Raw genomic sequence first — 16539 nt, forward strand, 5'->3', positions numbered from 1 at the left:
TCTCCTTTCATTTATGCCCTCTGTAATGTGACTTTGCAGCTTGTACCTATGCTGAATCTGCTTTCCTCCCCGCTTCAGTTAGGAGTGTTCTCACAACTTGTTTTGGGCAACAGAAAGTGGCAGACATATCAGAGTGGCAGTTCCAAGCCTAAACTTTTAAGAAGTCTTGCACATTTCCACTCTCTTGGAACCCTGCTGCTGCAATGTGAACAAGTCCAGAATGGCCTGCTGCATGATGGTAGACCATATGGAGAGAATCCTCAGGCTTCCCAGTTGACTAGCTGAGGCCATCATAGACCAGACAGCCCTTAGCTGCTTTCCCCATCCCCCAAAGTTGGCTACAGACATATGAGCAAACCCAGCCAAATTCAGCCAAGTCTGGCTCAGATCAGCAAACTGCACAGTTGATCCATGAATTAGTAAGCAACTTGCTGTTGTTTAAAACATTAAGTATTGGGATGATTTATCACATAGCAAAGACCAACTTATACATGACCCAAGCCATTGAAACACACACTCCAAACCACCCTGTGGTTCTTTAACATGCCTCATAGTCTAAGTTTTATATAAATGAGCAGAGGGTACCAGAGCTCAGTTTTCTTGTATCCTGGGCTGGGTAAAAGTTCTGTAATGAACCCACTTATAGCTCCATTGGCTTTAGACCTGAGTCAGAGAGGAGATGTAATTTTTCTTCTAGCTTTATAATTCCCTTTAATTTTTTTCTTCAAATCTTTTCCTATTGAATTTGAATAATCTTAAAGTAATCTTGGTTGTGCTGTTATGTAGTTTGTAATTTTTGTGTGTCTTGGGGTGAGAGGAAAGGGAAAACAGGGGTGACATGTATTGATTGGGAACCCAGTGAGATGAAAGATAGACCAAAACCTTATGTGAAATCACATGTTGAATAAACCCAGGGCTATATATAAATCATCTCCTGCAATATGTACCTTATTTTCTTTGCATTAAATGAGAAAGGGACAATACCTACTTCCATATCATGGCCCAAAATTTCTCCAAGCATTTCCTCAAACCCATGTTAATAATTCATTCATTTATCTATTTGCTCTTTTATTTGTTCAGTAAATATGGGGCACAGAGGAGGGATGTCAAGTTGTAGCATGCATGAGCATTTGCATAGATATACTTCCAAGAGAAGAGAGGGAGAGCATTCTAATGCCCTACAATGGTTCATAGCAGGGAAAACCTGAGAGTAGAGCATCTACACATTTTCTTCAACTGTCTAGACAGCCACAGTGATAAGGTAAGTAAAGATAGCTGGACTGGTCTTCTCCAGAGCTTTGTATATCTATCTGGTAATATAATATAGAAGAATAAACAAATGCTGGACTTTGTGCCAAATTCTAGTTGCTAGTATCACCAGGCATCTGATATTTGATGTGGGTACCTATGAGTGCAAGGTGACAAATGCTGAGTGTAAGACTCAGTGTCTACTTGGAAAAAATAACCCAAGGCTGGTGTTATACTCCTAGCCTCAGTAACATTTAGGCTTTGCTTTGATTCAAGCCTTCGTCAGTCTTAGAGTGTTACATGACCAGTGAGTGAGCTGTATTTAACACTAAAAATGGGTAAAATAGGCTTCCCTGGAGCAATTATGTAACACTGAGGTTCAATACTCCACTGGACTATTCCAAAGAGACATGACGGCTATGGTACGCCAAACACTCATTGTGTTTGACAGGTTGCTAATGTTGGGTTGTATAGAGGTAGGCACAGGAAATGTGAGCCCAAGCTAAACCATGAACACCTGTTCTCCTTAGATCCTCAAAATAAGGGGTTCAGGAAGGGAATCTGCCAAGAAAACTGGGTAAGTTGCATCAAAAGACACAAATGGTTTTCAATTTATGTGAGAAAGATGTGAATATGAATCATATCACAGTTGGAGATGGGATCATTGGGCTTCCTGTTTCTATTATAGCTGGAAAACAAATATTTTTTCATTGTAAGATGATACATTTGCTGCTATGTCTTCTTGTGTTACTGTTATTAAAAATTTATGTTAAAAATAGAAAAAATAGATGTAACATGTCATGGAACAGCTGTGACTGGACTAGTATACAGCTTGTCACTAACACACTTGCAATATGATGCAGGAATACCACAGACTGAGAGGGGAGGGGAGAGTGCTCATTGACTGGAAAGAGATACTTCAAGAGATAAAGGAAATGATTCCAACAAGCTAGATGGAGACTGCATAGAAGGGGACTGCAGCAGTCCCAGAAAAGATACAAACAAAAAGAATCCTGTTTTCCATCCCTTTTTCTTCTGTTATGATGAGAGGTGTGCCCTCATCTGAGGCCTCTGGGTGTACAAAAGAATCAGTAGGGTTGCCTTAGGCAGCAGGCAGCAGAGACTAGCCAGGAACCAGACCCAAGTGCTTCTGACATCTTTAGTCACCATGAAATAGGGAACAGTCATCCACAGCCTGGTGTGGTGAGAGTGAAGAGCTTCGATTTTCAGATGTCATTAATGCATTTAATGTTTGTTATTTCCTATTAATAAGATGCTCTTTGCTAGGGAGTTTGTAGAAAAGTGCCAGGAAATGAATTAGGCATGACATGTCTGTTTCATATTTCCAATACTCTGTTCCTAGGAATGCTAGAAAGGAGTAGGGAGTGGAAATATGCCAAAAAGACAGTAAAACATGGAATTAATTGCCTGCGGTATTCATTAATTCTTACATGTATTTTGTACATAATAATAGCTAATATTTATTAGGCATTTCCTTTCATTCAGAGATGTACATGTATGATCTTATTTAATCTTTACAACAACTCTAGGAAATAGGTACTGTTTTTATCTCTACTTTACAAATGAGGAACTTGAGGTGCAGAGAGATTAAATAAGTGACTTACACAAAGTAACACATATCATAAGTCTTGGAGACAGGATTTGGATCCAGAGGGTTGATCCTAGAGTCCATGACTACACTTCTAACCATGACAGTATATTGTGTACACTGCATTTTAGTGTCCATATACATTTTTTATTTTATGTTTTATTTCCCTCTATTTATACTGATTCTTTTGATAAATTGCCCTGATTTGATCTGAATAATTATACAGTTAGATCTCTAAAGATTATTTTACAAATATAAAGACAGTTGCCATTGGCCCCTTCTTACCTCTTTTCCACACGTTTGGTCTTGAAATGCTGCTGCTTTTCCTCTATAAATGATGTATTTATTGCTCTGTGTAATCTCTGATGGAGAAAACAGATTCACAGGTAGAAATTATGAGAAACACATAGGTCAGGGAACAAAGAACCACTTGAGATGTAACAGTATATGTAGTCGTTACAAACCTTGGCCTCTTTAAACAAATTCCAGAAATGCCTAAAAATAGATCAACATTCAGCCTCAAATCTCAACAGAACAAAAATTCTAATTAGAGGTTATTATTCCACCTGGAGAAACAAAAAAGTGTTCTGATGGAAAGCTCAGTATTATAAAACGGTATGTGATATAAGGAGGCACAATCATAACTAATGTGTAGCAAAAGGCCTTCCATAATTGCTAAAGATGAGTAAAAAGTATATAATTAATTGACAACCAAAACAAAGAAGGGAAGGAGGACTCTTGAGAATTAAGTTAATCATATTAGCATACAATAAGGAAGATCTGTGGAGTTCTCCTAGAAGACCAAATACTTCCCAGGATAAAAGTAGGAAGAACAGGGTTCAACTGTAACCAAACCAATGATAGTAACCTATCTAGAAAAAAAAAAAGTGTTACCAAAGTGAGGAGTTTAGTATGAGGGTATATGAATACATGAATAGGGTAAATGCAGAAGTGACAGCCTCCCTGCTGGGAGGTAATCCATGGTACACTGGAGGGCAGGAGGTGGTCTCACCACAGGAGAGGCCAGGATGGCTCATCCAGCCTTGCTGTGGTCAAGTGAAACCACTCCCTTTGTTAGAGTTCTTCCATCATTATGAAGCCTTCTGACTATATTTTGGGTCTCCATGCCAATTTCATTCAGGGAGAGATATGCAAACGAGTGTGCTTGAGTCACCAGTCTGCTTGACAGTTTCAGTTCTCCCTGTAAATCAGTGCGTTGATGTCTAGGTAACAGGAGAGAACTGCGGCCTTGTGAAGCTTGGCCTTGGCCCCAATGGGTCTCAAACCCCTCTGGACCAGGGAAAAAGCAGAGAGAACAGGGGCAAGTGGGGTCACTTAAAGGGGACCAGGGACTTTAAACTCACGTAATAGGTTTCAATTTTGGCAAGAAAAGAACCTAGGAAATAAATCTTTCACACCATCTTTTCAGACTGTCACTATTAAGTGAAACCTGGTTAAAAAAGTTCTATTTCTTCTATTATGAACAACAGTGGAGGGTTATAGGAAAGGAAGGAGCACTGTGGGATGCCTTAATTTAAGGGAAAAGTGAATTAATGGGATAGAGAGAATTCCTTCTGCTCTAATGAGAGTGCCTACCCCACCCTCGTTATTGTGGTAACATAACTTAGTAGTCTGACATAGGGCTCTGGATCCTCCCATCCCTAGGAATTGTACAGTTTAAGAATATTGGAGCAAGACACCTGTGGCACTCACCTGGCTGGTGTGGAGCCAGTATTGCAGCTTGGATTTGTTTTTGATTCGTGGTAGCAGCAGCCTGTATACTATGTGCTCACCAATGGTGGTCAAAATGGACAGACCAAATCCAATGCACAGCAGCACAAAGAGCCCAGAGAAGTGTTTGATGCCCATTTGCAAAGTCTGTGACAGAATAGGAAAGAAAAGGCCATGAATACAATGATATACCTGGCCCAATGCTTGTGTACTCTTTGGTTTTCAGATGGATATTCATTTTTTCTGGACTCAAGGACAGCTGGAGACTATTTCTCCCTGTGTGTTCTGTGACCTTCATTATACATCATGAAAGAAATTCAGCCAGGGTTGGACTGAGGGCTGCCGAGGAGCACCCAATGCCTAGAGGGTGAGAAATAAAAATAAAATTAAAAGCTCTCCAACCGACTGAACGAACTTTCTCTTGTCCATGGGGACCCCGAAGAAACCTTAAAAACTGAGTTCCTGGCCTTGATTGGATGGGAGGTCTGTCATGCCTCAGTTGTCCCTTCCTTATTAACCTTTAGCCATAATTCATTCTTAAGAAGTAAGCAAAAGCTAGCTCTGGAAAACAAGAAACCGATAACTCATTGCTTTATCACCTTTAGCTAATCATCTAAGGCCATAACCAGATTCTCCCTCCCTCTTTGCAGTTTCAGTGTGACAGCTCACCAGTTTCCCAATGCACCCTTCCTAAAAAATGACCACAATCTCCAGATGGTTTTGGCCAACTTGTGGGGGATGCATAGTGAGGGTTTTCATGTCCTCTGCTTCACATTTGGACATCAGAAGACCAAAATCTCCACCCTCGGGTCATGCTAACACCACCATTTTTTGAACATGGGCCCAGGAAGAGGCATGAAGCTCAACTGCACATGTGCATGTATCTCTTTTCATAAATATTTATGACTCCTCCTATAGCTTACTCAATACGTATACTCAGCCACCCCACTCAGCATAAATTCCTGTTCCCTTTTACCCCTCCCTTGAAGTGCTTGCTCTCAGCTTCTGCTGAGGCTATGCTTCCCATTCTGCAGGATGGCTGGCCTGCTGGCTGCAACCCTTTATGAGAACTAAAGATCTCCTGGCCAAATTTATGAAGCTCATGATTCTTCAGTTGACAGGCGCTATTCGTATGTTAATCCACTGTGCAAATGGCCCCTGGAGTTGTGCCAAGGCCCTGGGTCTGGACCACCTTATGGTCTCTTAGAGATTGAGAGAGATAGAGATAGAGAATTGAAACAATTTAATATACCTGGTAGCTGTCAAGGAAAGAACGTCCCTCAGGGAAGAGAATGAGTAGATTTAAGGGGAAAAAGATGGTGAGTTCAGTAACTTTGGAATTTGGATCTGGTAGGGAACATGGAAATCATCTAGTTCATTTACAGAGGAGGAAAGTGAGACCAGAGAAGTGTAGTAAACCGAGCCAAGCCACAAAAAAGGCATAGAAGAGAAAGAGAAGGAACTTAATGATATTTATTGGTTGCTTACTTTCTGCCAAGTGTTTTACATTAAAATAGATATATAACGTCTATTTTATAACTAAGGAAAGTGGAGTTACTGCAACTTTTAAGTGGCAAAGTTGGTCTTTCAGTCCATTTCTGTTCAGCTCCAAAGCCTGGGCTCTTTCTGCTCTACTGCTATATACCAAAACAGCAGCAGTTATAGCAACAATAGTAGTTACAATAAATATCTGTGGCCAGCACTTTGCTAAGTGATTTGTGTAGATTAAGAAAACCCTCACATGTACTCTAAAACAGCCATTATTTAGCCATTGACATCAATGACAAGAGTCAATCCCGTAGAAGTAAAAATACATAATATATTGAGTTAATACTAGGTGCCAGGCACTCTTCTGCGTATCATGGGATAGAGATAGAAGGAAGTTATATCTTTCCTTTTAAACAGCTTGAGTCTAGGGAGAAAACAAACATATACCTCCATGATACATTTGATCCATGCTTCCTGGGATTTGTGGGGAAGCTGGTTCATGAGATAACATTTGAATAAGACAGGCAGGATGGGGAGGTTGGGTGGGGAAAGTGAACATACTAACCTGAGGGTAGCATAAACAAAGGAAAAAAGACATGACTTTCCTGGACAGTGGTATAGTGTTGTGAAACTGACTGCTGTGGCTGAAGGAAAAGTATACAAGGCATGAATAGTGCCATAGTTTGAATGTATATGTCCCTCTCAAACTCATATGTTTAAACCTAAACTCCAAGGGTTGGTATTAAGAGCCCTTATGAAGGGATGAGTGCCCTTATAAAAGGGCTTGAGGAAGCTAGCTAGTCCCTTTTGTTGCCCTTCCAGCCTTTCACCATGGGAGGACACATCATTTGTCCCCTGTGGAGGACAAGCAACAAGATGCCATCTTGGAAGCAGAGACTGGGCCCTTACTAAGACAATAAACTTGGTGGTGCTTTGATCTTGAACTTCCAGCCTCCAGAACTGTGGGGAATACACTTCTCTTCTTTATAAAGTACCCAGTCTCGGGTATTTTGTTATAATGGCACACATGGACAAAGATATGCAGTGAGAGAGAAACAGGGCCACACTAGGCAAATCCTCAGATGCCGTACTAAGGAGCCTGGGTGTTATCCCTTTGCTGGAAGCTTTTGGTCATCATTATCATTTATAATTATTTAGCATTGAATATGTGTAAGGCACAATTCTGAGCACTTTATCAATGTAGCAACTTGCCTTATCTTTATGACAATTTATAAGGTAAATACTGGTATAATCTCCATTTTATAAGTGAAGAAACTGAGCAACAAAGAAGTTCAATAACTTGTCCAAGGTCACATAGCTCGTGAAGGTTAGAGCTGGGATTCAAACCCATGCCGTCTGTTTTCAGAGCCCACAGTCTTCACTGACTCATTTGTCTGATGTGAATGATCCTCCCATTCTCTTTAAAGGTTTTCCTTTCATTCTCCCCACCTCTCTCCACCTCTATTCTGGAGAAACAGCCGGCCAGGCATGATTCAGGCATAGGGTGCATAGGGAAGTCTATCTGGGGGTCAGGACTCAGAAGAAAAGGTCGGAGATTTCAGGCTGTGTTGGAGCCTAGCTCAGGAAATCTCTTTCCCTCCATGCCAGTACTGCAGGCTGTGAATCAAAGACTAGTGTTAGGGTCCCTAGAAAAGGAAAGACTAGAGCTGAGCAGGGGCTCGGAGACTGGCACAAGGCAGGAAAATTGGGCAGATGACTTGGGAATGCAGGCCGAAGCCCAGCCCTACGAAACAAGGAATGCTGGTCTGGGAAAGGGTTTGGTAGGGAAGCACGTTGGACCCCAAGGGCTTCAGAGGTACTAGGGATTTTCCTGGGACATCTCTGTGTGCAAATGGTGACTAGTTATGTAAACCTGACATGCAGAAAGTACATACAAATGTGTCTGAAAATAGTCCTTGACCTAGACCTATTTTAATGTGTACAGGATATGGCTATAATATGAAGGATTCAGTGAGTTATTGCTGTGGATTAAGAACAGACTGGGGGAATTTAGTTTGGACTGTAACATCATCAAACATTCAGTTAAACTCTGAGCAGATGGGCCCTGCTTTTTTATAAGACACTGCCAAGATGAGGAGGAAAGATGTAACTTGCAGTGAGTCATCTTGCCTTTATGGACATGACTCCCTCTGTTTCCTTGTGCATAACAATGATTAGTCTTATTTTTCTCTTAGTACCTCAATAACAAATAGGCCGTATTGTTTATATTATACATTTTTTTCTTTAAACTTCTGCTGTTTATACCCACATGCTGATAGACTAACAGAAGTAGTTATTGTTTTTAAATTTGGCATTTAATACATATGCCAGATACAATATACCTGTATTATGATCTTATAATTACCCTGTAAGTTAAGTGTTATTATCCTTATTTCACATTTGAGAAAGCAGAGGTTTATAGGGGTTAATAACCTTACTTACCCAAGATCATGCAAGCTACTAAGTCGGGATCCAGGCTGCGGATCCAGGACTGTCTGATGCCAAAGCCTGCAATGCTTCTCAAACAATCGCCATTTATAGGTATCCTTTTCTAGTTGAATCTTCACTATTCGCTATAACAACTATCACAATTTTTTATTTAAAACTCACATTGGAATGGAAAATCCACTATCATCTGCCTGTGAACACCAGAGAAAATGTTTCAATTGTGTCTGAGTCTGAGTGACAAGACATACAGCTGCCTTTGTAATTCAGCGGTTCCTCCCCTAGGATCACATTGTTTAAATGTGCTGTGCATATGTGCATCTTCCCCATATTATCAAGTGAAAACTTTCTTTCTAGTAAAAAACTGCTCAACTTGATACTCATTATTGGTCAGAGGAAGAAAAGAAGGAGTTATGAATATTCAATATCAAATATTTAAAATACACTCAGGTGATGCAGACAAAATGATAATTGCAGCTGCAAGTGACTTGAGTGGTAGCACATTCAGAAATGCAAGCAGAAGTCCAGTCTCATGCTGTCAAGGGCCATGTAAATGAATGCAAAAAGAATGCAAACAAACATATGTTTTGAGGTTGTTGTTTTTTCCCCCTTTATCCCATTGCTTCAGCTGCAGCTTCATTTGCTAGCTCATAGCCACACACTTCCAGAGACTCAAGGGCCAGGGAGAGAAGGCTGTCACAGGATTGATTGATTTGATTGGATTTTTTGAGACAGAGTCTCACTCTGAGGCTCATACTAGAGTGCAATGGCACAGTCTTGACTCACTGCAACCTCTGCCTCCCGGGTTCAAGCAATTCTCATGCCTCAGCCTCCCAAGTAGCTGGGATTACAGGCATGTGTTACCACACCCAGCTAATTTTTGTATTTTTAGTAGAGACAGGGTTTCACCATATTAGCCAGGCTTGAACTCTCCACCTTAGGTAATCTGCCCGCCTCAGCCTCCCAAATTGTTGGGAATGCAGGTGTGAGCCACTGCACCCGGCTAGTCCCAGGATTGAGCCAGGGACAAATCTCAGGCATTTATTGCTCCAGTTGGTCCTTCACAAACTTACTCTAGCCCACCCCATCTCACTTAGGCAACTCTTTAACTAGTAAGTAATCATTCAAAAAATTGCCTTGCTCATGTATTTCATTTTTCTAAAGGTTATTTATATTCATTATGTTTCTTTAGCATTTTATTGTTAATTTACATTAGTATATATTTACTACACTGTGAAGAAAAAACATAGTTTGTATCTGATACTGTACTCTGCATGTTGCATGGAGGAATACCAACAAATTATGCACTATACAACTAATGTTTTAAATGCTTTATGTTATGCAGAAATTCTTGGTAGATTGTCACATATCCATGCATTGTGCATTAGATATTAAATGTCTACAGGTGTCTAAGAGTGTTTTAGCGAATTTAGGGAAACTGCTTGAGATTTTTGGATGAAATAGGAATACTTTATTATTTTTTCCATTTGAAATAATGGAAAGGGCTTCCACCATCTATAAATTTACTAGCCAACACATTTCTAGGAATGGACCAAATTCAGATAAAAGGAGATGTTTGTACTATCACAGGTGTGGTCTCTGACCAGATCAGTAACATGTATAGGATAAGATTATAAACTTTGTTGTTGCCCAAACCCTGCTTTGTATTTTGTTCAGATGTCGTCACTTGAAACATCTGACAGCTGGCTCGAGTAGTGACTAGTTCTCAAGTCTCCAGCAAGAAATGCAGATAAAGTGTTTCACTCATCATTTGTTTTTGATGTTACTAATCAAGATCTATGCAGCTAATCCTTCCTTGTGCCCATTCCACACCTCCCAGCACATAGCAACCACCTGATTTCTCTGGTTTTCTAGAGTGTTGTCTATACTCATTGCTTCTAATTCCTTTTCTCCCATTCTCCCTTAGACCCTCTTCAATCAGACTTTTGTCCCCTCCCATCACCTGTCAAACAATTCCTGTAAAAGTAAAAAATGGCCTCCATATTGCCAAATCTAACGGTCAGTTTTCACCTTATTCATGTATCGGCAGCTTGGACGCCATTGATTACTCCATCTTCTTTGGTATAGTTTCTTAACTTTGTTTTTGTGATACTTCTTTCTCTTTGTTGTACCTTAGTCTCTTTTGCTTTTCTTCTTCATCTTTCTGACTGTAAACATAGGCATGCTTTCAGTTTTTCAGCTACACTCATGTTCTCATTCAGAGTCAGCTTTAAATACCACCCAGATGTCAATGACTCCCAAGAGTTGGGGGCTTTTCTGTCCTAACTTCCTACTCTGCCTCTTTACTTAGGTAATGAACGGACATTTCAAAGATAACACATTAAAAGCAAACTCCTAATTTTCCCTCTGAAACCTGCTGCTTACACAGTCTTTCTCATCACAATGAACCTCCATCCTTGCCATGACACAGGGAAAAAAACCTTAGAACCACCTTTGATTCCTGTCTTTCTCTAGCATCCCATTACCCTGTGTATCTGCAAATATGGTGGAACCGACCTTCAAAGTATATCCAGAATTCAACATCCCACCACCTCCACCAACCACCCTGATCCAAGCCACCATCCCCTCTCACCTCACCTAGATTATTGAGACAGCCTCCTAGTTGTTTTCCCTAACCCCTTCTGTCTTCTTCACAGCAGTGAGAATGACTGTCATGTCACTCCTGTGCTCAATGCCTGGTCATGGTTTTCTGTCTCTTGCGGAGTAAATTCAGAGTCCTTGCAATGGGCTATGAGGCCTCACAAGATCTATTTCCTCATATCCTTCTTCTCTCTCGCTGGTTGACTTTGCTCAGCCATTTGGGCTTCCTTATTGTTCCTTAAATCTATTGAGCAACTTGCCACTTGAGGGTATTTTCATTTTCTGTTCGTGCCTGTAAACTCTTCTGCCAGGAATCAATATTGCTCCTTCCCTCACTTTCTTTAGGTTTCTTCTCAAATGTCACCTATCCATGAAGTTTACCCTAATCACTGTGCTTAAAAAGGCAAATTCTTTTCCCCCTTCCATCCTCTTTCAGATACAATCTATCTCTCTTACTTTGCTTTATTTCTCTCTTGACATAGTATGTGTTTATTTGTTTATTGCCTATTTCCCCAGCAAAGTAGAATGTAAGCTACAGGAGGGCAGCACTTTTGTCCATTTTGCTCGATACATACTCTTGTTTAGAACAGTGCCCAGCACGGTGAATATTTTTTAAATGAATGAATGAAAGCATATGAAAACTAGGATTTTTTGTATAAAATAAATTTGCATAATTTCCCCCACCCCCGATCCCAAACAGTCTCATTATATCACAGAAGCTTCCTAGAACAGTTGTTTAAGAGAGAAGGGTGGAGATGGACATTCTCAATTAAAAGGAGAGGAAACAAGGCCCAGTTTTGCTAGCCTGACCTGATCATGCTAATATTCACCAATCTAGGGATCTACTGTTGAAACTGGGACAAAAAATTTTTTAAATTACTGAAGTAAAACACTGGAAACTGAATGCAAAAATTTCAGGAGGAATGTATTGATTTTGTTTTCTTAGGATCCTTTCTTTGGGGAACTGCCCTCTTCCTGCTTCATGTGGTTTTGGTGTATCTACCAATCACAGACTCCCTGCTCCCTGTTCACCAGGCAAAGCATGAGACTCAAGGCCAGTCAATGTGAATCTGAAACAGAAACACTGGATATCAAAGGTGTTTGGAGATGAGTCATTTCCAATGTCAGTGCCCCAAAGACATAGTCCCCTAGTTCCTGCACTAGCATCCTTGGAGTGCTGTGGTTCGAGGCTTCATCTGTCACTCTCTTTCTTACTTCAAAACATTGAGCTTTCCCGTTATTCTTTTGATAGGTTTTGCTTAAGTTTAAAAATCTGTTGCAGCCGGGCGCAGTGGCTCACGCCTGTAATCCTAACACTTTGGGAGGCCGAGACAAGTGGATCATCTGAGGTCAGGAGTTCGAGACCAGCCTGATCAACATGGTGAAACCCTGTCTCTACTAAAAATACAAAAATTAGTCAGGCATGGTGGCAGGTGCCTGTAGTTCCAGCTACTCGGGAGGCTGAGGCAGGAGAATTGCTTGAATCCGGGAGGCAGAGGCTGCAGTGAGCTGAAATTGCACCACTGCAATCCAGCCTGGGCAACAGAGCGAGACTCCATCTCAAAAAAAAAAAAAAAAAATCTGTTGCTTGCAACCAAATAATCTGATTCAATATATGTACTGTTTAAAGGATTAAGGTCCTCTAGCTCCGAGGTGTGAATATAACTTCTTTTGAGATAGACTGTATCCTGACGCAGATCTCAGAAATGAACGGGTGGAGCCTGTTTTAGGAAGTCTTCTCTGACAGGGTAAGGCTGTGTTGCTTTTGCCTGTCTCCAGCAGCCTAGTATATAGTAAGTTCAATAAAAAATAAAAAGCACATGTCTGAAAAGTAACTTAATTACATTTACTCTGACATTCCCTATTAAATATTTTTCCCCAGAGCAAAATGACTGCAAGAACCTGGGAAAATAATTGTATTTTTCAGTGACCTAATGCACTAAGCTTTGTATCATCTCCTCTCTGGATCTGCACAGCCAAATGCGATGTTCAAGAATTTTTTTCCTTAATAAGAGAGCTGGTGGCAGGGGGAGAAATAATGATTTTAATGAGAGGTAAGGAAAAGAAAAAGGCTGTGGTGCTTCTGAAATATGGATGACTCATAGATGCTTGGAAGCAGGACAAGGAAGAAGCAAATGCTATTTCTAATTTTGAAGACCTGGTATCTATTTTATTTATTTATTTATTTATTTATTGCCTCCTGATTATTTTGCCCAGAAGAATAGTTAGTTGCTCAAAAGAACTTGGCAGATTCATTGCTGTGTCTATACATATGGCCCCTTGTTGGGGAGAAGTAGGAGAATGATATCCACATGAAATGTGGGCTCCAGATGTACCAAAGACAGAGTTTCCCAGGTGAGAGAGTCTGGTTGAAGAGAGTTAGGTAAGATTGTGCGGTGCAATCATTTGGAATTAAAACATATATATTTAACAAGAATCATGAAGAGGGAGAAAAAAGATTCATTCAGAGAACCTGGAAGTTTCTCATTAACCAAGACATAGTGAAAGATCACACTTAACAAAAGAAACAGAAGAGGAGATAATTTATTAACACAAAATCCAGGGAGACACTGCATGAGCCTGAGTAGTGCTCACACATTTGGATAAACAAGGATTTTGACAGCACTCTCTGCATTCCTCTAACCTGGAAACTGCTTAGTGGCTCATCAACATGGCACTGCCCATGTTGCTGTGAAGATGCTTCTCTCTCCCTGTTTCTTGGGATTCTTGAGCCCCCATTTCTTTTAAGCTTGGGCGACCATCTTTTAGGGTTGAAATTGTACTTAATTTGCCACATTAGCTCTGTTGTGCAGTTTTTTGAAAAATTTATTATTAAAACGACTCAGAAAAATATTTTTAAAAACTAAATGTGAGATTACCCATAATCCTTGTACTATAAAACAATTACTTTCAATGCTCCATTTTCTCTTCTGAACAATGACCATATGCACACATATTCTTCAGAGTTCTAAACATAGGATATAACAAGTTTGCATTATGCTTTTAAAAGAACTTATTTTCTAACAAACTATTTTAATATTTCTAAAAATATTATTTTCTAAATATTATTTTATTTATTAACTTTAGTTGCCTAATACTATCACCTATTGTTTTTGTTATAATTGACTTGACTACTCCCAAACTGTGGTTGTTTAATTTTTTAAATATTATAATTTATGGTATATACGACAAATATTGCTACAATAAAAATTTTGTGTATAGTATTTTTTTTTCTTTTTTTGAGATGGCGTTTCACTGTGACTCCCAGGGCAGAATGTAGTGGAGCGATCTCAACTCACTGCAACCTCCGCCTTTCTGGTTCAAATGATTCTCCTGTTTCTGCCTCCCAAGTAGCTGGGACTAAAGGCATGTGCCACCACGCCTGGCTGATTTTTGTATTTTTTTAATAGAGATGGGGTTTCAGCATGTTGACCAGGCTGGTCTTGAACTCCTGACCTCAAGCGATCCACCTGCCTCGGCCTCCCAAAGTGCTGGGATTAAAGACGTGAGCCTCTGCACCTGGCCATGTATAGCATTTTAAAATATTTTTATTTCTTTGAGATATACATTGCAATGAGTGAGATTACCTGGTCAAAGGATACAACTGTTCTGATGACTTGTGATGTGTAAAATGACCCATAAAAAGGGTGAAAGCCATTCCCAATGCCACCAAAGATACTGCAATGCCTAGAAGGCTTCTATTTTTGCCAACTGTTTTATAATTATTCATTTTTCCTGTTTTAAATATTGTAATTTGTATTTATTGAATTAGCAAGCCTATTTTTCCATGTTTGTTTTACCTATCTCCTTTTGAATGAATCATATAATGACTTTTTTGCATATTTATTTATGCATATCAGACACAATGAAGCTTTTTTTTGAAAAACTGCTAACCCTTTTGCTAACATGTTATGTTTCTCCCTTTTTATGTTTTCTTTGTTTTGTTATATTTTATTATATAAAAGTTTGAAGTTTTACACAGCTATACTTATTTTGATTATTGTACATTTTTCTACTGTTTCAGGCATTAGAACATATTGATTATGGGGATAAATATTTTGTGTCCAGTGTTATATCTTTAAAAAATAGTGAACCCTTCAGTCCATTTTGAACTTCTGTGCCAAAGAGTGTAACTATGTTAATTTTTCTTCACTGAAACTCTTAATTTCATCTCAATATTTCAGAGACTCCTTAGTCAATAAAAAGCTACCTCCATATTAGAGTGACCTGCATTTCTTTGTAGTAATTTAGGTTTTTATTTAAAATCTTTAAAGGTTTTATTTAAAATATTGGTAATTTTTAAAAAACATTGTGAGAACAAACACCATGTAAAACCAGTAACAACGAAAGCAAACATTTGTAGGTCAGAGTTAGCCTGTGAGTAGTCAGACTGTCTTCTGATCTACACAGCTTTACTGCTACTACGGTGACCCTTCAGTGTTAGAATTTTTCATTATGAATCAGCTAATTCCTGATGATTCATGATTTATAGTTCACAGTCATTGGCTACTGGGGTAGGTACGGTAGTTGACACGGCAGCAGAGAAGTCCGGTCTGATTCTCAGTCTGGTGGCCTTGTTCCTCTACCATAATGACACTCTATTTATTTATTTATTTATTTATTTATTTATTTATTTATTTATTTATTTTTTTGAGATGGAATCTCGCTCTGTCACCCAGGCTGGAGTGCAGTGGTGTGATCTCAGCTCACTGCAACCTCTGTCTCCCTGGTTCAAGCAATTCTCCTGCCTCAGCCTTCCGAGTAGCTGGGATTACAGGCACGTGCCACCACGCCCAGCTAATTTTTGTATTTTTAGTAGAGATGGGGTTTCACCATGTTGGCCAGGATGGTCTCGATCTCCTGACCTCGTGATCTGCCCGCCTCGGCCTCCCAAAGTGCGGGGATTACAGGCATGAGCCACCGCGCCCGGCCAACACTCTTTTTAAAAACATCCGAGCCTCCTCCTGTTCAAAGTATTCAAAATAGATATAACACCATAGCAGACTAACTACCTACTCTATCTCTTAACAGAAAGAAAGAGTCAGTACTATAAGTAGAGAATGGAATTTATACTTTTTTTAAATAAAAAATTGTCTTCATTTAAAAAATTCATACTGTTCCTCAGACAGTGGCTTAGGAATTTGTAATTAACAAAAATGTCTGGAAGATATTTTTTCCTTGAGAATGTTTCTAAAGCATGAGAGAATATACACCAAAGCTAAATTGAATTTGCTGAGGCCATATTTTTTTCTCTGTTTCAAAAAGAGTGTCTAGTGGTCTGGGGATTGCAACATATGGTACAGAGCAGACATAATCCAATTAACATAGGATTCATAACAACATATTGTGACTGATCTCTATAGCCTCAGAGCATATTGGTTTGCGTTATCGGTTTAATCTAAATATTGTCACCTGTT

General features: G+C 39.6%; 1 protein-coding gene across 1 annotated transcript in view, besides 1 other annotated feature; it reads right to left on the reverse strand.

Annotated features, from left to right (window-relative positions):
- GRIN3A (glutamate ionotropic receptor NMDA type subunit 3A) overlaps positions 1-16539 on the reverse strand; it is a 169296-nt gene that overhangs the window by 5274 nt on the left and 147483 nt on the right. The window contains exons 7-8 of the mRNA NM_133445.3: positions 4571-4735; positions 3143-3219 (exon numbers count right to left, since the gene is read on the reverse strand). Of these exons, the coding sequence (NP_597702.2) occupies positions 3143-3219; positions 4571-4735 (242 nt within the window). The remainder of the gene's footprint in view (positions 1-3142; positions 3220-4570; positions 4736-16539) is intronic.
- Positions 12096-12145: an enhancer, noted in NCBI's record as "active region_28727". NCBI's record gives its function as "activates an Ori minimal core promoter by ATAC-STARR-seq in GM12878 lymphoblastoid cells {active_cell/tissue: GM12878}" and the evidence as "EXISTENCE:reporter gene assay evidence [ECO:0000049][PMID:35858748]".

This window comes from Homo sapiens, chromosome 9, assembly GCF_000001405.40.
Source record: "Homo sapiens chromosome 9, GRCh38.p14 Primary Assembly".
Lineage (NCBI taxonomy): Eukaryota > Metazoa > Chordata > Mammalia > Primates > Hominidae > Homo > Homo sapiens.